The sequence below is a fragment of the Homo sapiens genome, chromosome 20 (assembly GCF_000001405.40).
Source record: "Homo sapiens chromosome 20, GRCh38.p14 Primary Assembly".
Classification (NCBI taxonomy): Eukaryota; Metazoa; Chordata; class Mammalia; order Primates; family Hominidae; genus Homo; species Homo sapiens.
This window is the reverse complement of record NC_000020.11, coordinates 6,105,109-6,128,629: the sequence shown is the minus strand read 5'-3', so window position 1 is coordinate 6,128,629 and position 23,521 is coordinate 6,105,109. Positions and strand designations below refer to the sequence as shown.

General features: G+C 42.5%; 1 protein-coding gene across 4 annotated transcripts in view, besides 1 other annotated feature; it reads left to right on the top strand.

Annotated features, from left to right (window-relative positions):
• Window positions 5,595-5,714: a silencer, noted in NCBI's record as "silent region_12663". NCBI's record gives its function as "represses an Ori minimal core promoter by ATAC-STARR-seq in GM12878 lymphoblastoid cells {active_cell/tissue: GM12878}" and the evidence as "EXISTENCE:reporter gene assay evidence [ECO:0000049][PMID:35858748]".
• The window catches only part of FERMT1 (FERM domain containing kindlin 1), a 48,186-nt gene continuing 30,264 nt past the window's right edge, over window positions 5,600-23,521 (top strand). The window contains exons 1-6 of one of the 4 annotated variants that reach the window (NM_017671.5): window positions 5,600-5,856; window positions 9,058-9,226; window positions 12,586-12,819; window positions 16,007-16,153; window positions 18,119-18,332; window positions 20,996-21,098. In NM_017671.5, coding sequence (NP_060141.3) covers window positions 9,076-9,226; window positions 12,586-12,819; window positions 16,007-16,153; window positions 18,119-18,332; window positions 20,996-21,098 — 849 coding nt within the window. In that variant the 5' untranslated portion in view covers window positions 5,600-5,856; window positions 9,058-9,075. Of the gene's footprint in view, window positions 5,857-8,890; window positions 9,227-12,585; window positions 12,820-16,006; window positions 16,154-18,118; window positions 18,333-20,995; window positions 21,099-23,521 lie in introns of those variants that run through there. The other 3 variants (XM_024451935.2, XM_047440259.1, XM_047440260.1) reach the window with 3 other exon arrangements.

Sequence of the window (23,521 nt, the reverse complement as noted above, 5' to 3'; positions counted from 1 at the left end):
CTATTATAATAAGGGTTGTATTCATTTCCCTTCAATAGCTACTTATGCCAGCTTTGGTTTGAATAAAGTGGTAGTTTGTTTTCTCAGCCCAAATTTTGGGCTCTCGGTCAACTTGGACCTCCAGCTGCAGCAGAGGGCCCCTCCTGGCAAAGCAGTTTCTCTCCTTACCTCTCTTGTCAGCTGGAGGACTCTGGTGTGGGTATAGCTGCTCTATCAAGACTGCTGAAAGAGCAAGAAGTCATCAATGTAAACCAACATTCTGAATGCTCCCCACTATTTCCCCTCTTATCACAGCCTCACTCAGCTTGCAGTGTGCATCTTCAAGTATTGTATATAGTAGTTGAAGCAAAATTTTGCCACTGCATTACAAGAGTCACCAGCTTTCCAGCCTGTAATGTGTGTCCCCTCCTTGCTCAAAGGCCTGCCTGCTGCACTTAGTCAATTCTACTTTTAGTGTTGTTACTTGTAGCATCCCACTTCCGGTAACACGTTCTTTGTCAGTAAGAGCTCTTAGGCACAAATAACAGAATCCACTATGGCTAGCTTAAACAGAAAAATAATTAGGCAAGTCGTCATCATCATCATAGATGACAGGGTCTTGCTCCATCATAGTGGACACAACCTGACAGGACAGCAGGAGGAAGAGGCTTGGAGCTAAGCACCAAGAACAAAGTCTGAAATGATGCTGTAGGACTAACACGAGAAGGGAGTCACCATTGAAGCATCTGAACCTGACTTTACTGCACCTGCTACCACCACCCACTAGCCCTGACATCACTTCTGCATTGGGACTTTAACCTTTCAGCCTCCAGAAAACCATCGCCACTGCCACTACCACCACCATAGTCATTCCTGACACCACTCACATCAGAAAAGATGGAAGCTCCAAGTACATCCTGTCTCTGCACCTCACTCACTTTCAAATTAAAGTCATTCCTGAGTATCTGAATGACACAGCCTAGGTCATAGGCCTGTGCCCTCGCTGCAAGCGAGGTTGGGAATTTGAGTTCTGACTTCTAGACTGGGATTAAGACATAAAGATTTCCACAAATATTAAGGAGGCCATTCCAAGGATGATGGGCAGCCATGAGTATGACTGATATTTGCTACAATCATCAAGATATTTTCAAGTTAGAAAAGCAAAATGCAGAACAATATGTATAGACTACTATCACTTGCATAAGAAGCAGAAATTGTCTACATGCATAGACTATCTCTGGAAGGTTTCAGGGGAAACAGGTAACTATTATCTCTAGGGAAGGGAACTCAATAATCAAGGATGGGAGGAAGATTTAATTATCACTGTATACTCTCTTGTACCCTTTGATTAAGAAGGATGCAATCTAAGGAAGGAGAACAGGGGATGGAGGAGAAGAGGGATGGAAGGAGGGAGGCACTGTGTTTCTTGCTTCTCTCATTCTCAAAGGTGGGCTCCAGCATGGCCCCCAGCAAAGCCATTTTTACTCTTCTTTGCTCTTTGTCATTCAGCCCTGTAAGTACATTGAGACACACCCTTTTCACCCTGGCAAGGAGAAAACTTTAGAACTTGCCTGGGCATAGAAAGTGCTCATTATCCATCCAGTTGGGGAGGAGGGTGTAGCAATAATAGGCACATTCTGCTTCTTTGCACTCAGCAAAATGTATTCACTGCACACGTGAACACAGCTGCCATTTTGTATGTGCCAAGGACTCAATGCAAATAAAAATATATTTTAGGTGTCTGTTGCCGTTTTGAAGTCATCAGACTTCTAGCAGGTTTATAAGCTGAAAACTTAATAGAGAACTTTATATTGGGTAAATATTTATCAAAATCATCAATCAGGAAAAAAAAATCCACTTCTTTTCTCCTTCAAGCAGCTTTCTTATTCTACCTAAATTAACTCTATAGAATTTTTAGCAAAAAGGTGCTAGAGGAAAAAATCATTTGTGTTTAACAAGTTAAAGCAGCAGAGACTTTCAAAGTTCTCTACTCATTTATTTCCCTTTTGTGTTCAGTGAATACGGAATATGGCCACATCTCTCATTCAGTCTAATCTACCCATACCCCAGACATGACATGACTTACTTTTTTTTTTTTTTTTTTTTAACTGAGACAGGGTCTTGCTCTGTCACCCAGGTTAGAGTGCAGTGGTGCAATCATGGCTTACTGCAGCCTGGATCTCCCAGGCTCAAGCGATCCTCCCACCTCAGCCTCCCAAGTAGCTAGGATCACAGGCACATACCACCACACCCAGCTAATTTCTATTATTTTAAAAATTTTTTTCTTCAACTTTTATTTTAAGTTCAGGGGTACATGTGCAGGTTTGTTACGTAGTAAACATGTGCCATGGTGGTTTGCTGCACAGATCATCGCATAATTTTTATGATTTTTTGTTTTTTGGTGGAGATGTGGGTCTCCTTATGCCGCCTGAGCTGGTCTTAAACTCCTGGGCTCGAGCAATCCTACTGTCTTGGCCTCCTAGGTGTTGAGATTACAGGCCTGAACCACCACACCCAGTTGATTTACCTTTTTGAAGGTACTAGTTCAAAGGTGAGTTTATCAGTGTATGGGTAATTGACAACAGATTTTTTTTTCAATATTTGCAACTTGAATGTATAAGATTTCAAAGTCAAGAAATAGAGCTTCTCTTTATCTTCCACCCTTCTGCTACCTGAAGCGCAACTATCTGCTAACTAAAAAAAATATATTAATACCTTAAAACAGTTCTCTAGAAACCTCAGGTTATTATAAGAAACTATGAAGCTCTTATCCAATGTTTCAAATTCCATCTCAAAAATCACCTCCTTTCTGAAGCCTTTTCTCATATTCCCTGCCACTCCAAACACCTGGCAGAAGTAGACACATTCTTCTGTATTCCTTAGCATCCCTCCTATCATCTGAAGACAAAGTGCGTGCCCAGTTAATCTGAGTATTTTCAACATATATTACGATGTCTAGCTCACAGTAATACAGTGACTAGCAAATAAATAATCCATTGCTGATTAATATGTATGAATTAATTAAATAACAGACTCAGTGAATTGATTCTGCTTGTTTTTTAAGGGGGCAAAGGGTGTGCTTTTTTTAATATATATGTACAAAATTTTGAAGTTCAGAATACACTTTTTAACCCACTTCTAACCCAGGACCTTGGGGGATGGGTTGGACCTGTGTCACACAAACGACAGTAACCGTGTAATAAGTAAAACATAAAGTTAAATTAAAAGCCTAGGACAGCCGGCCATGGTGACTCACACCTGCAATCCCAACAATTTAGGAGGCTAAGATGGGAGGATGGCTTGAGCCCAGGAGTTCAAGACCAGCTCAGGCAGCTAAATTTAAAAATTAGCCAGGCACGGTGGTTCACACCTGTAGTCCCAGCTTGGGAGCCTGAGACATCAAGGCTGCAGTGAGCCATGATCATGCCACTGCACTCTGACCTGGGGGAGAGCAAGACCCTTTCTCAAAAAAAAAAAAAAAAAAAAAAGCCTAGGACACATAATATGGATAAAACTCACAAACATAATGTTGAACACAAGAAGCCAGACACAAAATAGTGCACATGGTCTGATTCCATTTATATAAAGTACAAAGACAGGCAAAACCCTTCTGAGGAGTTAGAAGATAAGATAATGGTTATCCTGGGCCTGGGGTCGGGGGTAGGGGCAGGCAGCGGCAGTGATCATAACTGAAAGGAATAACTAAAAGGGGTCACTAACGGGCTTCCGAGGACTGGTGATGTCCTGTTTCTTCAACTGGGCACTCTTTATACGCTAGTGTCTTTATATACTCTGTATACAGGTGTGTTCAGTTTGCGAAAACTCATCAGCTATACATTCACGATTTGTGCTCTTATCTATATATATTGTGTATATGTATGGGTGTGTATATATATGATACACATTTATATACACACAAGTCACTACATAAAATTACAAGTTTAAAAATTAACCTAGGCCAAGAAGAACGCTTAAAACCAGTCGAATTCTTTAGCACAATGCAGATATTTTCAATTGAAAAGAGAAAAACCATATTGGTATGAATAGATAGAGCCATAATTCAAGGTCACACATAAAATCTTGACCACAGGCTGGGCACGGTGGATCACACCTGTAATCTTAACACTTTGGGAGGCCGAGGCAGGTAGATCACAAGGTCAAGAGATCAAGACCATCCTGGCCAACATCATGAAACCTGGTCTCTACTAAAAATACAAAAATTGTAGTCCCAGCTGCTCGGGAGACTGAGGCAGGAGAATCACTTGAACCCGGGAGGCGGAGGGTGCAGCAGTGAGCCAAGATCGTGCCACTGCACTCCTGCCTGGGGACAGAACAAGACTCCATCTCAAAAAAATATATGTGTGTGTGTGTGTGTGTGTGTGTGTGTGTGTGTGTTTGTGCGCGCGCGCGCGCGCGCACTGACCACAGTCTAAGTTCTAATGGGCCATAAGCAGGGTTTCATGATGTTAAGAGGTAGGGAAGTGGGACCAGATGACCCTTCCCATCGTTGACAAACGCTACCAAGTGAAGACATTCTGTTTCAAGTTTTTAATGATTTTATTTCAATTATAATATCCTATATTTGCCAACAATGTTCAACTAACCTTTTTAAATTAAATGTACTTTCAAACCCATAATAATTCCTGAATATGGTAATGTTTAAGCGAAAACAGATTCAACTTCTAAATTTTATAACTTCTTTATTAAAATTTAAGTGTTCACAAGCCTTTTAATGCAAATCGCTAAAGCCTGTACTATATTGCATGAAATCCCTCCGTGGAAGAGCACGCATTCTATCTCTGTACCTATTTCACAGATGAGGAAACTGTCATTTCCATGTCTGTTTTATTAACCACTGTATTCTCTGAGCCCAGGCCCATTGGGAGGCCTGTAGAGCAGTAAGCACTCAACAAATGTGATTAAATGAACAAAGGAGGCTTGGAGAGGTTGTGTAAACTGCCCAGGTCACCCACCCTTCCTGGGTGGCCCCAGCCCTCTTTGAAAATAAATCCAACAGGAAGGCGACTGGCGGGACCGGTGGTGATCCTGAGGTGAGCCATACCAGGTGTGGCCCAGACTTCCGCATGCAGCCTGCCCTTGGGTCTCCTGGAGTCTCCCCTGGTCGGGAGCCTCAGCCTTCTGGAGACTGACACCACCCTCTTACTCAGAGACGAATCGTTTTGTCGTTGCCTTCACCTCCCTGACCACAAGTGCTCCGGGGCTCTTTCTGAGGGAGGCAGCTGTTCTAGGCGGGAGGCTGGAGTCTCCTGGGCCTGGACGCACCCCGGGGTGTGAGTGATGGGTATGCCTGAAAGGAGGGGAAGTGGCGCGGCTTTAATCATCTGGGCTAGTCCCCGGCGGGCCTGGGGGAACAGGGAAACTGGAGGCGGCCTTAAAGCGTCAGGATGAGACATCGCAAGAGGAGCTGCAGATACTGAGCGTGCGCCCCGGGTTCTCGCCGCCTTCTCTCCGCCGAGCAGCCCTTCGGCCACCCTTTGCCCTTAAAAATCTGCAGACTGCGCCTCCTCTCCGCGGGAGCGAGACCTAGCAGGCCCGGGGCTGGGCGTGCCCTCGCCTGCCACGCTGCGCGCTGCCCTCAGCCGGGCCGCTGGGGCCGTGCAGTGCACCGGGCACGCCGCGCCAGGCTGGGGGCAGGCACCGAGCCTCCGTGGGAGGTCCCGAGGCAGCTTCGCCTGCTCGCCCTGGCTCCAGCCCTCACCTGCCGCAGCCTTAGCTGAGCAGCCGCCGCCACTGGGCGCCCCCCGCTCCCCACTTCGCCAGCGCCCGCTCCTCGGCTCGGCCCGGGGTAGTTTGTAGGGACGCAGCTCTCCACGTGCGCGACTGCGAGGCTGGACGCTACGGGCTCCTGGAAAGGAGGTGGGTGCTCCGGAGCTAGGGCTGGGGAGCTAGAGGTTGGGAGGCTTTCATGGGCACCAGTGGCTCCTGAGCCCCCTTAGCCCCTTTCTTTCTGCAGCCTCTTGTACTTAAATAGCTGTTGATTGAAAATAATTTCGTCTGGATGTGACCACCTTCTCCGGCCCTACGCATCTGGCCGCAAAATAAACTTTCAGTTCAGCCGCAGGTGCTGCCTTAATGGGAGTAAGGGGCATGCTTTATCCACCCAACATCCGCCCCAGGATCCTGCAGAGCTGGCAAAAGACAGGTCGGGTGGCCTTCGAACACCAAGCACCTTCAGATATTCCAGGGGAAGGGTCGGGGACTGTTTCCCCCTCATCTTTCCTCCTTCCTGCTCTCCATCCCTCCATGCTTTCGTTTCTTTGACTGTCTGCGAAGGGCTTTTCAGCACTCTGCCAGTAACTTTGCTTCTTGTTTTGGTCTCCTTAGATGCGTTTTCCCGGCTGAAGTTTGCTGCTATCCTTGACAAGTAACAGCTTGCTGCAGACTAGACGTTCACTCAAAAATGAAGGCACAGAAAGATAGGAAAGGAATGCAGGAAAACCAGCTTGGCTAATTTTAGCCTGCATTTTGTTGTAAGGGGAATCAGCATCTATTGCCTGAATGAGTAGTGTTTTGATCACCCAAGTTAGGAAAAGACCTTATATCAGATTGCCCAGTGAAATAAGCAGTAAGGAATCACCTTTAAAAGTTATTTTCTTTATATACAAAACATTTTAAATAACTAGACTTCACAATTATAGCATTTAAGAAATTGTAAGGATCTTAAAGTCGAACAGTTCAATGCCAAGTTATGAGTTTGACGATGAAGGGGCATCTTTTGTCTCCTCACTGCGCAAGATTTGTGTTGATAGAAATGCTTAGTAAAGGCTACTGAGAATTTAGTTCACGTAGTTTGAGGAGTTTTCTTTCATTTTGGCATTGCAACATTATCAAAGTGGTTTCCCAGTGTGGTGAATAAGAGTTTGAAATAGAAAGGCAGACCTGGATTTCCACCTGGGCTCCAGCATCTAACTTGCTGTGTGACCTCAGGCAACTTGCTTCATCTCTCTGAGGCTGAGTTTCCTCATTTCTAAATGAGATTGCTGAGAGGATGAAAAAGGGATAACAGAAGACAGGAGTTAACACAGAGCACATCATACAGTCAGTAGGTAATAAATGATACCTGAAGCTGATGATGACAGAGGCAAGCAGTTAGGCCTAATGCAGTCACTGAGTGGCACTCCTCATGCAGAGGGTTCTGTGTGGATCTCTGTGCATGGGGAGGAGATGCATTGCATCGTTGCATGCTTCTGACTATAGAAACATAAGGAACGGCTGGGCGTGGTGGCCCACGCCTGTAATGCCAGCACTTTGGGAGGCCAAGGCAGGTGGATCACGAGATCAGGAGTTCAAGACCAGCCTGGCCAGCATGGTGAAACCCTGTCTCTACTAAAAATACAAAAATTAACCGGGCGTGGTGGCACACGCCTGTAATCTCAGCTACTTGGGAGGCTGAGGCAGAGAATTGCTTGAACCCGGGAGGCAGAGGTTGCAGTGAGCTAAGATCATGCCACTGCACTCCAGCCTGGGTGACAGAGCAAGACTCCATCTCAAAAAAAACAAAAACAAAACAAAAACATAAGGAGCTACTTCTGAACTCTTGAATTTCATCCTCACCCATAAAATCTGTCCTAAATCTGTTCAGATTTGCAGTATTCAATTTATCTGTGTAGCGTATTTTGAGATTCTCTTATGCTTACAAATGAGTCGTTTCGAATGAACATGCAGAACAGATATGACACTGGTTGTTTAATTATTATTAAAAGTAATGTTCCTCGGATATTACCATCATCCCTGGTTTAATATTGATCTAAATAGGTTGAAGGGAAGAACTGAGTATACCCACAGACCAGCAACATCTGGAGCCTGTTAAGAAATGTATGGCCCCTCCCTAGACCTGCTGAATAGAATCTGCATTTTAATAGGATCCCTGGGGGATTTGTGTACACCCTCAGAGAAGCCCTTTCTTAGGAGTTTGAGTGCATTGATGTTTCTTAAAAATAGGCCTTATGAAAACATGAATTTCTCATAAGCTGGCTTTACATAGTAAAGTGAAAAAGACTCATTATCATTTAAATAATTTTTACTTTAAATGTTTAAAACAGCCAGGAGCAGTAGCATTATTTCTTTCTGTTTAAAAGTAAGAGAGAACTGACATCTCAAGTTTTGTTTCAGTTCTGCCAATTTGGATTCCAGTGTTCCAGTTACCCCCTGAAACATTTCAGTTGTGAACGTTCTTTCCTGCTAGCTTCTCCCATGAGGGGAAAACGATGGGTTTGAAATTCACATCCCTATCTGTACTTTGAAGAGTGAGCTTTTTATATCTGTTACTCCTGTTTTTAAATCTTTTGCCAAAGATGTATCCAAATTTTTAATTGGTGCATTTATAATCAATTTTTATATGACATAGAACAATAAGTAAATCGAATACATGGCAATAATTATTAATGACCTGTATCTATATGTATTTAAGGTAAAACTATATATTATAATGACTGAAATAGGAATTATTTTGCTTTTTTTTATTTTTTGAGCTTTATTATGGGAAGATATACATTTTTGTAGGAGGAATGTAATAATATACATATATTAAAGATATTAAAGATAAGAGGCTTTAATGGCATCCTTTTTAAACATCAACTTTATTGAAGTATAATTTGCATACAACAAAATATGTTGAACTATAGTATATAAAATCTGCGCATTTTATTACATGCAAATTATACCTTAATAAAATTGATTTCTTTAAAAGATAATATGGAAGATTGCCTATTGCCAGAATAGTTGAGAGAAGGTCAAAAGAAGTCAATAGAGAGAAAATGAGGATTGAAGCATTGGGTGGACGAAGGAAATACATAGCCAAGTGGTCTTGGAGAAGTGGGTGAATGGAAAAATGAAGTATGTAAATTTAGATGATTTGAGACCATTTTTATAAAACTTTTTGTCTTCAAAGTTAAGATGCCAAATTTGATATCTGGAGCACCTGGAACCTTGCAGAGTGTTTTGAAGAGGAGGTTACAATGAAAAACAAAACAAAAAAGAAATTTTGCTCTGCAAGTCTACTGACAAGTCCCGTTTCCTTCCCACATTCCAATCTATGTCTGCCTTTTTGTTCAGCAGACACCAGCATTTGCCACAATGCTGTCATCCACTGACTTTACATTTGCTTCCTGGGAGCTTGTGGTCCGCGTTGACCATCCCAATGAAGAGCAGCAGAAAGACGTCACACTGAGAGTATCTGGAGACCTTCATGTTGGAGGAGTGATGCTCAAGTTAGTAGAACAGATCAGTAAGTTACTCTTGCTTTACGGTTTCTCTGTATTAGAAACCCTGTCTGGTGCATCACCACTAATGGCTGGTGTAGGTTTTTCTGATCATTTATCTTGTAATGCCCTGGAGAGCAATCCCCCACCCCTCATCCCAGAGGAGAGAAAGAAATAGCCCAGGCTGGGTGCCGTGGCTCACACCTGTAATCCCAGCACTTGGGGAGGCCAAGGTGTGCGGATCACCTGAGGTCAGGAGATCAAGAACAGGCTGGCCAACATGGCGAAACCCCATCCCTACTAAAAACACAAAAATTAGCCTGGCGTGGCGGTGGGTGCATGTAATCCCAGCTACTCGGAAGCCTGAGGCAGGAGAATCGCTTGAACCCGGGAGGCGGGGGTTGCAGTGAGCCAAGATCGTGCCACTGCACTCCAGCTTGGGTGACAGAGCAAGACTCGGTGTCGGGGGAAAAAAAAAAAAAACCTTGAGTCTTTGGTGGCAAGCTAAATTTCCCAGTAGGTATAATGCTGGACTTCAACAGGGATGGGACCCATTCCACCGGTGACATCTAATGTGACTTTAAGTAGCTTGGCATTAGACTACTGGGTTAACTCTCTGTTAATACTTGAGAGCTTAGTGATAAATTGGTGCTGAGGAGTTTTTCAACACTTATCCACCGTTTACTATGCTCCCTGTTTAAACAAAGAAAGAAATCTTCAGGGTTACACTCTTCACCTTGTAGCGTGTCAGATGTCAACATTATCAACCTAGAATTTAATAACATTCTATTTTCTTTGTGCTTCTTTTGCCTTCTATTTAAGGCCTTAGATGCGGGCTTTTCATTTGCTCTAGCAAGATAGTTTTTTTTTCAGTCCTTATTGACTGACATATAATATACATACAGAAAAATTCACTTATTATAAACAAGGCTTCACTTATCATAAACAGTTCAATGGATTTTCACAAAGTCTTGTAACCACTCAGATCACGAAATAGAACATCAGCTGTTCCCCACCCAAGCCCCATACCCCGACCCCTCCCAGTCACCACTACCAAAGGTAACCACTGTCCTGACTTCTAACACCACAGGAATCATTGCTTGATTTTGAACTTTATACAAATGAGATTATAAAGGATATACTCTTACACATTGACTTTCTTTCACTCAACATTATATCTGTGAGATTTATCCATACTGTTGCATATTGTTTTGGTTCGTTTTCATTACCATATAATATTCCATTGTATGAATATGCCACAATTATTTATCCATTTACCTCTTAATGGACATTTGGGTTGTTTACATTTTCATGCACTTACAGAAAAAGCTGCTGTAACACCTGTCTTTCAGAGATCATTTCTGTTGGGTGGTATAGTTCAGAGAAAAAAAATGCTGATTCATAAGGTTTTCCAAAATAGTTGTGCCAATTTATGCTTCTACTAACAGCATTAAGAGGAGCATTTTCTGGCTGAGAGCAGTGGCTCACGCCTGTAATCCCAGCACTTTGGGAGGCTGAGGTGGGTGGATCACCTGAGGTCAGGAGTTCAAGACCAGCCTGGCCAACATGGTGAAACCCCATCTCTACTAAAAATACAAAAATTTCCTGTAATCCCAGCACTTTGGAAGGCTGAGGTGGGTGGATCACCTGAGGTCAGGAGTTCAAGACCAGCCTGGCCAACATGGTAAAACCCCATCTCTACTAAAAATACAAAAATTTCCTGTAATCCCAGCACTTTGGAAGGCTGAGGTGGGTGGATCACGAGGTCAGGAGTTCGAGACCAGCCTGACCAACATGGTGAAACCACGTCTCTACAAAAAATACAAAAATTAGCTGGGCATGGTGGTGCGTGCCTACAATCCCAGCTACTCAGGAGGCTGAGGCAGGAGAATCACTTGAACACGGGAGGCAGAGGTTGCAGTGAGCTGAGATTACACCACTGCACTCCAGCCTGGGCAACAGAGTGAGACTCCATCTCAAAAAAAAAAAAAAAATTAGACTGACATGGTGGTGCGCACCTGTAATCCCAGCTACTTGGGAGGCTGAGGCAGGAGAATCGCTTGAACCCAGGAGGCAGAAGTTGCAGTGAGCCGAGATCATGCCACTGCACTCCAGCCTGGGCAACAGAGTGAGACTCTGTCTCAAAAAAAAAGAGTTTCTAATTTAAAAGAGAAAGAAAAAATCATTTAAAGAAAAATAAGAAAACAAAGATACTGGTAACTCTTCATTTTGCAAAATAAAAGATTGAAAATTGACTCCAATATTGATGAAGGGTAAAGATTCTATTTTAATGCCAACGTTAAAGGAGGGGAAAGATTGACATTGGTGCTAACATTGAAAGGGAGAAAATATTTTAACTCTGACTTCAATTTGGACACTTTGGATATGGTGGTACTGATAAAGAGTTGGAGATTACTGAGAAGAATGAAATGTCAGTTGTACAGTACTTCTGTGTGGACTTTGATTGGAGGCTATTGCTACTCCCTTGTGACACAGTGGTATAAGGATACATTTCTATAAGAGAAATAATCTTGATTAAACAAAGTCAGATGCTTTCTCAGAAAGGGCCATGGCACAGAGATTTTAGCGAACAGAACTTTAGCATTCATTGTGAACACATTTTTATGTTTCTTTTCCTCCACGGTATCTAAATGTAAATGATGGTAAGATTTAGTCCCTATTTTCCATTTTTTTTTTTTTGAGACAGAGATTTGCTCTTGTTGCCCAAGCTGTAATATAATGGTGTGACCTCGGCTCATTACAATCTCCACTTCCCGGGTTCAAGTGATTCTCCTGCCTCAGCCTCTGGAGTAGCTGGGATTAACAGGTGCGCACCACCACACCTGGCTAATTTTTGTATTTTTAGTAGAGACAGGGTTTTGCCATGTAGGCCGGGCTGGTCTCGAACTCCTGACCTCAGGTGATCGCTTGCATCAGCCTCCCAAAGTGCTGAGATTACAGGTGTGAGCTACAGCACCCGACCCTATTATTTTTTCTTTTTCTTTTTTAATTATTTTATCTTTAAATTTTTTTATTTGATTTAATTTTTTAAATGTTTTTTATTTTACTTTAAGTTCTGGGATACATGTGCAGAACATGCAGGTGTGTTATATACGTATACATGTACCATGATGGTTTGCTGTCCCATCAACCCTGTCATCTACATTAGGTATTTTGCCTAATGCCATCCCAGTCCCTATTTTTTCCCTGGAGACTTTGGAAAGAAGCCAAAAGTTGTTAAGCCTTGAATTGTAAAAGGCCATGAGGAGCTGGAGATCAGTTGTTGGTTTCCATTTTCGCACACAATGAAATTGACTCTGCAGCTCCAGGACCCTCCAAGCTGGGCCCTCTCTCATTTTACTTAATTGTGCTTTCATTTTTGCAGATATATCCCAAGACTGGTCAGACTTTGCTCTTTGGTGGGAACAGAAGCATTGCTGGCTTCTGAAAACCCACTGGACCCTGGACAAATATGGGGTCCAGGCAGATGCAAAGCTTCTCTTCACCCCTCAGCATAAAATGCTGCGCCTTCGTCTGCCGAATTTGAAGATGGTGAGGTTGCGAGTCAGCTTCTCAGCTGTGGTTTTTAAAGCTGTCAGTGATATCTGCAAAATCCTGAGTAAGTACCCAGGAAAGGCCCCTGTGCCCTGTAGACTCTTGCAAAGCTAGACAGGAAAATTATGTGTGCATTCTGCCTACTTCAAGTAATTGCTACAGAACACTCACCTATTAGGAAGCACATGTTTAAGCCCTTCTGGGTATTGCAGCCATTTAAGTGGAGTTAAGCCAAGTGGAACATTATTGGCATAAATCAGGTACATCTCCACAAAGCTTAAAACTATTCCAAAAGAGATTTGTTAATAGACAAGATAAACCACTAAGATTGCCCCCCAAAATTTATTGATCCAAGCTATACTCAAACATTATTGTACAGTATTTAAGATTTAAAGAGTTGTATTAAATACTTAATCACCATAGAGCTATGTGTCTTTATTGTTTTTGAGATAATGGTGTTCCAAAGTCTTAATTGCTTAAGACCTGGCTCAAGTAAATAACTCTGCCCATAAAAATCACTTATGAAGTGATTAAGCAGAAAAGTACACTTAATTGTGAATTTAAACCTAATTATTTATAGATTTGGTATCCTATAATTTAACAGTCGTAAAGACAACACTACCCAAACCAATTTTTCTTTATAAAACTCCATAAAGGGAAGGAAACACCCCATGAAGGTATTCTCATTTTATAATTTTTGAAAGTATTATAGGTGTATTCATTGGTTCCAAAACCAAAAATCAACATTTGAACCCAGAATAGATAATATATAGTGATATATAGTGAGTAATCTATTTTTCCCATTAAACCATAAACTATTCACTCATTCAGCAAATATTTATTGAGCACCTACTGTGTCCCAGGCATTGTGGTGAGTGCTAGGGATATAGTAGCAATACAGAGCTAAAATCCCTGCCACCTGGAGCTTACATTTTAGCAGGCAGAGACAGACACTAACCAATAAATGTAAATGTAACAAATTTTAAAATATAAATGGAACAAGTTAAAAAAGAATATAAGAGGTTAAAATGGGATGGATAGTACCCCAAAAAAGAGAAAAAGTATGAGCAGGATTGGGAATGCCAGGGTTGGGCAGTGGGGGCTGGTATGGTATATGAAGTAGGGTGAGAGCAGAAACCGTTTCCTGAGCATCTCTGCATTCCTCACTCCAGTCACAATGCCTAGCATACAATAACTGTTGAGTGAACAAATGAATGGAAACTTTCATTACAGAATGTAAGTTGCAGTCTTGTCCCTGGTGTGCAAATGGCAAGCATGAGGACACCTTGTGTTTTTGGTAATATTCTAATGAGGATTTGAAAGCAAAGTAAATGATTACATAAAATAGTATATTGCATACACCACAGTGGACTGGAAGCACACATCACAGCTGATACCAAAAATGTAAAGTTTTCAAGTAAACAGAAGCAGTCAGATGTTCTCTTTTCCTGATTATCTCTTTGTAATAGTTTTAAAGGCTCAGCGTGGCATTTCTAATCATTGCATTTTATATCTTATCAATTGAAGTGAAATCAAATGCAGCAGTTTAGTGGTTTTTCCCTTGAAGAACAGAAAAGACACAAATCTTAACCTTGAAGATACAGGTGTTTCTGTTTCATTGTTTTGCTTTTAGTGCTCACAGTGAAATTTTTTATTCATGACCGAGTTTGTGTATAAATTATGCATTTGGAATGGTCACACGTGTGTTGCAACCTGACAATCCTTGGCTGCTGGGGAGAGTCAAGCTAAACTGCTAGGCTCAGTCTCAACACTGAGCAGTATATGAACGAAATGATGAGAGAACTTAATGGAATCAGTGCACTTACCTTCAACAAAGCTGCTCAGAAACTAAAAGTCCAAATTAATTGGTTTTTACCTGGAATGATAGCCACTAGTGTAGTTAAAGGTTATCAGCAATTCTGATCAGCAATTATAAATATATTTGATTAATGGGAGAAATGGGGATTACCATAGTTTCAGTTCCCAGAAGAAGACCCTGAGATAAGGATTCAAGTACAAATAGTTTATTTGGGAGGTGATGCCAGGAAATACTGTTGGGGACAGGGAAGTAAGACTGAAAAGAGAAGAGTGTCACCAATCAGGTTACACTTCAGCAGCTGGTGACCCCTGGGAGACAGTGTAGACACAGCCTCAGGGTAAGGATGTTTATGCAGCACCCTGGATAGTCACTGAAGGTTGCTCTTGGGGAGCATTAATTCCCGGAATATGTGGGCTGTTGCAGTGCAGACCCTGGTGAGCCATCAGAGCAAAGCCTCTGGCAGAAAGATGCATGGTCTAGATTCCGCCAGAAGCCAGGTGTGCTGAAATGGTGAGGACCAAGAAGAAATGGGCAGGGCATGAGGGTGTCACCACAGGGATAAAATGAGCTGATGGGCAATGTGTAAAAGAAAGACGTTCAAGATCTGTGATCTATAAAGAAAAAAGGAAGCAGGACCTTTGTTGGTTGTTTAAAAAACTGGAAAAAGGAAAGGGAGAGGGAGCAAGGAAGGGAAGTCTATTAGTTCATTTTCATGCTGCTGATAAAGACATATCTGAGACTGGGCAATTTACAAAAGAAAGAAGTTTAATGGACTTACAGTTCCACATGGCTGGGGAGGCCTCACAATCATGGAGGAAGGCAAGGAGGAGCAAGTCACGTCTTACATGGATGGCAGCAGGCAAAGAGAGAGCTTGTGCGGGGAAACACCCTATAAAACCATCAGATCTCATGAGACTTATTCACTATCATGAGAACAGCACAGGAAAGACCTGCCCCCATGATTCAATTACCTCCCACTGGGCCCCTCTGACAACACATGGGAATTCAAGATGAGATTTGGGTGGAGACACATCCAAACCATATCAGGAAGAAAGGGGAGAGGGAGGTAAAGTTGGTGGTAAATAGGTAACAAGAATAGCATAATGCTAGTAATGACTGAAGCTGGGGAGCCCATGAAGGGGACATTATACCATTCCCTTTGCTTTAGATACATTTGAAATATTTTTATAATAATTTTTCTAACCAGAAATTTCACTAGACTGAATCTCCCTCCACCGTTTTCTCCCCCCACCTACTTTGGAGGTCTCTGTTCCCCTTTCCCCTTCTGTTTCTTCAAAAGGGATGCAGTTTAGTCCCATTTACTTTTCAGAAATTTCCTGAGAAATGATTTTAAATGCACAAAATGACCCTGAGTCTTAGAAGGAGTTTTCTTTTTACTTTTTCTTCATTTTTAAAAAATATTTATTTCTAGATATTAGAAGATCAGAAGAGCTTTCCTTGTTAAAGCCGTCTGGTGACTATTTTAAGAAGAAGAAGAAAAAAGACAAAAATAATAAGGAACCCATAATTGAAGATATTCTAAACCTGGAGAGTTCTCCAACAGCTTCAGGTTCATCAGGTAAGACTTGTTACAGGTGTTTTGTTGTTTGAACGTACAGTAAAACTCAAGAGAGAAATATATCTCTCCTCCCACCCCCACCAAACAAAGGAGAAATAAAATTGCAGAACTGATGTGATGAGGAAAGGCTATCTAGTCAAGTTTAGAATTAACAGAAATGTGTTTCAGACTTTTTTTCATCAAGCATGTTTAATAACTCATTACTTGAATTGTATATCTGATGTTGCCAATGAATGCAAAATTTTAGTACCACTGACCACAAATTTGGGATAAAAGAGTGATATTTAGAAAACAGGTAACTGGCTGGTCACGGTGCCTCATGCTTGTAATCCCAGCACTTTGGGAGGCTGAGGTGGGTGGATCACTTGAGCTCAGAAGTTTGAGACCAGCCTGGGCAATATGGTGAGACTCCATCTCCATTAAAAATACAAAAAATAAATAAATAAATAACCTGGGCATGCTGCTGCATGCTTGTGGTCCCAGCTACTCAGAAGGCTGAGATGGGAGGATTGCTTGAGCCCTGAGGGTGGAAGTTGCGGTGTGCCAAGATTGTGCCACTGCACTCAGGCTGGGTGACAGAGCAAGACCCTGTCTCAAAAAAAAAAAAAGAAAAGAAAAAAGATAAGTTAAATCACTCAAATACACTTCTCTCTTCATGATTCTATCATTGTGTGATTCTTTCCTGAATTCAGTTTTTTATGGGGCATGCAAGAGGAGGGCAGGTGAAAATTCTGGAGGAGAAGCATCCTTTTCTTTTTATATCAAAACAATCAAATCTCTAGCTTGCTTGCAAGATTGAGGCTTTCTTTCTTCATTTTTTGTTTGTTTGTTTTGTTTTGTTTTTTTAGACAGAGTCTTGCTCTGTCACCCAAGCTGGAGTGCAGTGGCACAATCTCGGCTCATTGCAGCCTCTGCCTCCCGGGCTCAAGTGATTCTCATGCCTCAGCCTCCTGAGTAGCTGGAATTACAGGTGTGCACCATCACACTTGGCTAATTTTTGTATTTTTAGTAGAGACAGGGTTTTGCCATGTTGGCCAGGCTGGTCTCAAACTCCTGGCCTCAAGTGATCCGCCTGCCTCAGCCACCCAAAATGCTGGGATTACAGGAATGAGCCACCACACCCGGCCAAGATTGAGGGCTTTCTTGCATAGTGTATTCCAATGAAAAGAACAAATTGTACAAATTAGAGCCAGCTGATTTATAAATCATCAGCCTACTGAATTCTTAAAATTGGCAAGTCCTGCTATTTGTTTAAGGGGCTACCTGAAACATATTGGGTACATGCATTCTATGAGGTCTCCAGTTCTCTAATAGTGCCAAGACTCCTACTGAAATAGGAAAACTGTGAATTATTAGAAAAGAGGTGGTCTCCATTAGCCGGGTGTGGTGGCTCATGCCTGTAATTCCAGCTATTCAGGAGGCTCAGACAGGAGAGTCACTTGAACCTGGGAGGTTGAGGTTGCAGTGAGCCAGGATCACACCACAGCACTCCAGCCTGGGCGACAGAGTGAGACTCCGTCTAAAAAACAAAAGAAAGAAAAGAGGTGGTCCCCAATGTTTGTCCCTGTTGATTTTTGAAGGCTTTTACATATTTGAGTTCCAAGGCTTTTGAGGAGCTGAATTTACAGATAAGACCATTACCTGTGTATTACTAATCTCTGTACCATCATGATCCATATTATTTTTTGGGTTTTGTTTGTTTGTTTGTTTGTTTTTTGAGATGAAGTCTTGCTATGTTGCCCTGGCTGGTCTCAAACTCCTAGGCTCAAACAATTCTCCAACCTCAGCCTCCCAAGTAGCTAGGATTATAGACGCGGGCCACAGTGCCCAGCTTGACTTATATTATTTTAAATGGTGCCAAATTTAAAGTCAAAACTCATTTTAGTGTAAGTAATGTTAATATTTTCTTGAAGATTTATATCCCTGGATTCTCATATCATAGTTCTTGATCCCCCTGCCTTGCAGTAAGTCCTGGTTTATACAGTAAAACCATGACCCCTATATATGACCCCATCAATGGAACACCAGCATCATCCACCATGACTTGGTTCAGTGACAGCCCTTTGACGGAACAAAACTGCAGCATCCTCGCATTCAGCCAACCCCCCCAGTCCCCAGAAGCACTTGCGGATATGTACCAGCCTCGGTCTCTGGTTGATAAAGCCAAGCTCAATGCAGGGTAAGGACACGGCTCCTTTTACTTCTCTCTGAGCTAGTGCCGACACAGTAAGAGATGGGATGTCACGTTTCATTTTCAAGTTGGTAGGCCTAGGGATTGTGCTTTATTTGCAAAAGTTAGTGCTGATTTTAGCAACAAAGGGGAAAAATTCAGCCTTTGGTCATTTCAGTATATTTAAAGTGTGCCTAAATTTACATGTTTGGGTAACTCAGTAGATTTACTATCTGTGAATACTAATTCTTTACCACTACAGATATGCAAAGTATATTTTGTGGGATGTAGGGTAGTTAATAAGTGTGTTGGTCCCCATGGGCCAGTGGGATAAATCCAAGGTGACCCACCAGGCTTACATTGTCTTTTGTAGAATGTCACTCTTCTCTTTTTTTTTTTTTTTTGAGATGGAGTTTTGCTCTTGTTGCCCAGGCTGGAGTGCAATGGCGCAATCTCAGCTCACCACAATCTCTGCCCCCCTGGGTTCAAGCAATTCTCCTGCCTCAGCTTTCTGAGTAGCTGGGATTACAGGCATGCGCCACCATGCCCAGCTAAATTTGTATTTTTTTAGTAGAGATTGGGTTTCTCCATGTTGGTCAGGCTGGTCTCGAACTCCTGACCTCAGGTAATCTGCCCACCTTGGCCTCCCAAAGTGCTGGGATTACAGGCATGAGCCACCGCGCCCAGCTGTCGCTCTTCTCTTTAGGCATTCTAATGAGCAACTTCCTTGAGCTCTGTTTGAAATGGTCTCAGAAAATACACCCAAACTATTTCTGAAACTACCATTTCTGTTGTTCCCCATTGCCTACCAGATAAAGTCAAACTCGTCAACAGCATTCACCTTCCTAGAAGATCTGGCCCCAACAGGTGTCTCCGTGTCCTCCCATGCTCCCATGGCCCCGTGCCGCCTGGGTGCACACTCATTCTTTCTGTCACTGCCTCACCTCCAGGACCATTCCCCTTTACCAACTGTTCAGTCCCTACCTGTCATTTAAGGCCCAACCACATGCTGTCTCCTGCTCAAGTATTACCTTCAAGATCGGCCCCCTCCTTGTAGCTCTGTCCTGACACTTTGCTCACTCCAACATCACATTGTCCCTTTATTTGAGGCTTGGTCTCCCCCAGCAGACTGTCAACTCTTTTAGGATGGTGATTTTGTGTTGGTCATCCTCTTTCCCCAGTTTTTATTTCTCAACTCTAGAACTCTACTATGCATTGTACAGGAACCCCTAGCCACATGTGGATATCTAAATGTGGACAGGATTTTAAATTAATTAAAATTAAAATGTGGCACTAACAGCCACATTCAGCTGGGGCTAATGCATCAGACAGCACAGATATGAATATTTCTCTCATTGCAGAAAGTTCTAGACAGTAATACAGAGCTGGCATTGGGGCAAACCATCTGGTAAAAGGAGAAGTGGTGCAGGTAGTCAGGACGTATGGATTCTCAAGCTGGCCCCATAACCAAGCCTGTGACTTTTTTTTTTTTTTTTTGAGACAGAGTCTCTGTTGCCTAGGCTGGAGTGCAATGGCATGATCTCGGCTCACTGCAACCTCCACCTCCCGGGTTCAAACAATTTTCCTGCCTGCCTCAGCCTCCCAAGTAGCTGAGATTACAGCCATGTGCCACAACACCTGGCTAATTTTTGCGTTTTTAGTAGAGACAGGGTTTCACCATGTTGCCCAGGCTGGTCTCAAACTCCTGACCTCAGGTGATTCACCCGCCTTGGCCTCCCAAGGTGCTGGAATTACAGGTATGAGTCCCCGCACCCTGCTGAGGCCTGTGATCTTTAAGGATGATCTAATGTCACTCAGACTAAGTCTCTTTGTCTACAAAGCTGAGATAATAAGAACTGCCCTGGCCCCTTCATTGGATTACTTTAGAGTATCCATGAGAAAAAAATCTATAAAGCACTTTGAAGACTGTAAGATAAAATGCAAATATAAGCTATTATTATGTGCTTACTGATTTTTTGTTATACAGGTTCAGTATCCCTTATCCAAAATGCTTGAGACCAGAAGTGTTTTGAATTTCAGAATTTGTTTTTTACACTTTTTCAGGTTTGGGGATATTTGCATTATACTCACCAGTTGAGCATCCCTAATCCAAAATTCTGAAATTCAAAATGCTTCAGCGAGGCCGTGCACAGTGGCCCACGCCTGTAATCCCAGCACATTGGGAGGCCAAGGCAGGCAGATCACCTGAGGTCAGGGGTTCAAGACTAGCCTGGCCAACATGGCAAAACCCCCTCTCTACTGAAAATAAAAAATTTAGCCGGGCATGGTGGCATGCACCTGTAGCCCCAGCTACTCGTGAGGCTGAGGCAAGAGAATCGCTTGAACCTGGGAGGCAGAGGCTGCAGTGAGCCGAGACTGCACCACTGCACTAAAGCCTAGGTGATAGAGCAAGACTCTGGCTCAAAAACAAAACAAAACAAAGCAGAACAAAATGCTTCAGTGAGCATTTCCTTTGAGCCTCAGGTCAGTGCTCAGAAAGTGTCAGATTTTGGAGAATTTCAGATTTTCAAATTAGTGATACTCAATCTGTATTACATACCCTGATTTTGTTCAAGGATATATATATGTAGTATATAATATATGACATAATAATATAATGGATATATATGTAAAATTGACTGGCTTCTAAAACTCATGCTGTCATTTTCTAGTTGGCTAGACTCCTCACGCTCCCTTATGGAACAAGGCATCCAAGAGGATGAGCAGCTGCTCTTACGATTTAAATATTATTCTTTCTTCGACTTGAATCCTAAAGTAAGCAACTTTTTCTCTTTTGTCTTTCTCTTTTTAATATGAATGCATGAAAGGATAAAATGGAGGCATTTGCTTATGAAAATTAGGATGAATTTATTTGTGTGATCGCCTGTTTAGCCCTGCAGGGTGAGACTGATACATGGACCCTGGTCTCTGAATTTTTATCCTTTGGTCGCTACTGAGCACAGTAAGCTGCTACCAAATTAGCCGGAGTCTCTGAGGATCTTTGCGCCTAGCGTGGCATGCACTGCCCCCCTCCATTTGCAGGAATGGTCAAACAAGATGGGAGTGGCTCAGAGAGCTGGAGTTCTTTTTTTTTTTTTTTTTTTTTTGGTTGAGACAGAGTCTTGCTCTGTCACCCAGGCTGGAGTGCAGTGGCACGATCTTGGCTGACTGCAACCTCCACCTCCCGGGTTCAAGCGATTCTTTTGCCTCAGCCTCCTGAGTAGCTGGAACTACAGGCTCATGCAACCATGCCCAGCTAATTTTTATGTTTTTAGTAAAGACGGGGTTTCACTATATTGGCCAGGTTGGTCTCGAACTACTGACCTCATGATCCTCCCACCTCGGCCTCCCAAAGTGCTGGGATTACAGGCATGAGCCATCGCATCTGGCCAGAACTGAAGTTCTTAATGCTGAGGAAGGAAAGGAGTTGTCAGAGGTCAGGTTTAAAGGCAGGTTCCCATGAACAAGCTAGGATCACATGATGGTGCACATAGGACTCCACACTCCAGTGCTTGCTTACTCTTTGGAACTGAGGGAAAGGGATCATCTATGTAATGCCTTTTTCTCACCTGGTCACCCAGCTGGTCACCAATTCTATTTTCACTGCACATCTCCCCCTGAAGTCTATTAGAATAACAAATGAGGGGTGAGATAAGTCCTTTGAACTTCTGCCTCTTCCTTCCTTCTGATGAGCCCTTTTGAAGAGCTGAGAGTCAGCGGTACAATGGCCCAGTGTCGACGATATAAACTGGATGACTGGTCCTCTGAGTGCGCAGGGTCACTGTGTTGCATGCTCCCATCACTGTTTTGTGCCTGTTGCTCTTTTCCATTTACTGCCAGACACTTGGAGGAGCTTGCCTTGGTCAGCCTTTCTGTACAGACCCTTTCTCATCTACACCAGCATTTCCACCTCTTGTAAGAGGCACTGTCTTCTTCTTGGTCCTGACTTTAGGTCTGGTCTGCAAAGGCTCACCTCAGCTTCCACTGTTTCCCCAACTGCCATCTTCAAAACAAACCTTGTCCCTTGTCATTTCTAAGGAGAGGTTCCTGCTCAGTCCTTGATTTTTATCCTGTGGACCAAGCTTGTGTCTGGAATGCATAAGTGAATCATGGCAAAAGGGCAAATTTTGGCTTTTCTTCGATAAAATCTCCAGGAGAAATTACTGTACTGCTTCTCCTACGCAATTGGCTTGGCTTTTTTTTAACTCTACTGTGAATTTGCAACTGTCCAGGTTTTTTGTTTTTGTTTTTGTTTTTTCATTGCCTGCTAAAACCAAATCCATACTTTTTTGTGATTTTATATTTAAGCCTCATTCATGACTCAACTTTAGCATTTCCTTGCTTAACTCTTAATTTAAGCTATCTTGTTGTATGCCATCTATTCTAATAAACTGCCTTACATTTTTTCTGAAAATAGATAACACATACATAAAATATGCCCATGCATTTTCCAGTTACTAAGTCAGTAATTTGGTCCCATCTTATCTATTCAAATCTGTGCCCCATCTGTTGTTTGTTTGTGTGTTTATTTATTGAGCAACTACTGTAGGCCAAGAACTAAGCTGGGTACTGAGAACTCAAAACTGTTGTATATTAAAATAATGTTTTCAAATTAATGAGATAAAATACATAGGACTACAAAATGAAACACTTATATTAAACTGTAGTAGCCAAACCCTTTTTGAAAATGTATATAGTAATATATTTTTAGTTAATTGAATAAAGAAGATTTGTAGTTCTCATAACCACCATAATTTCAAAGTAGTGATGTGGGTGAGCCTTGCTTGAAGACAGCAGCAACAACTGGCATACAGAAGGAACAAAATCTTGATTCTGGTGGTCACAGAGTGACAAGTACTCTGCAATGCTGTGGTTTAGCATCCTGAGAGGAAATGCTAAATTTCCATTCGAAGTCGATGCAATTGGAGAGGTTGTGTTTCCTCATACAAGCTTGTGGACCACCTGATAATCAAACTTCCAAGTCTGAGAACCCCAGAATCAGAACCCTGCTCTGAGACCACATTCAGGTTCCACTCTTTCCAGAAAGGAGCTTTTCTCTACTCTCGGTCACATGGGCCTTTGCCTTCTCTGAGCCACAGCTGAGTACTGTACAATTTCAGGACTCACTCCTCTAATCACACCACATCTGTGGATTTTTTTCTACAAATAGACAATCAAGTCCTTGGAGACAGAGACTG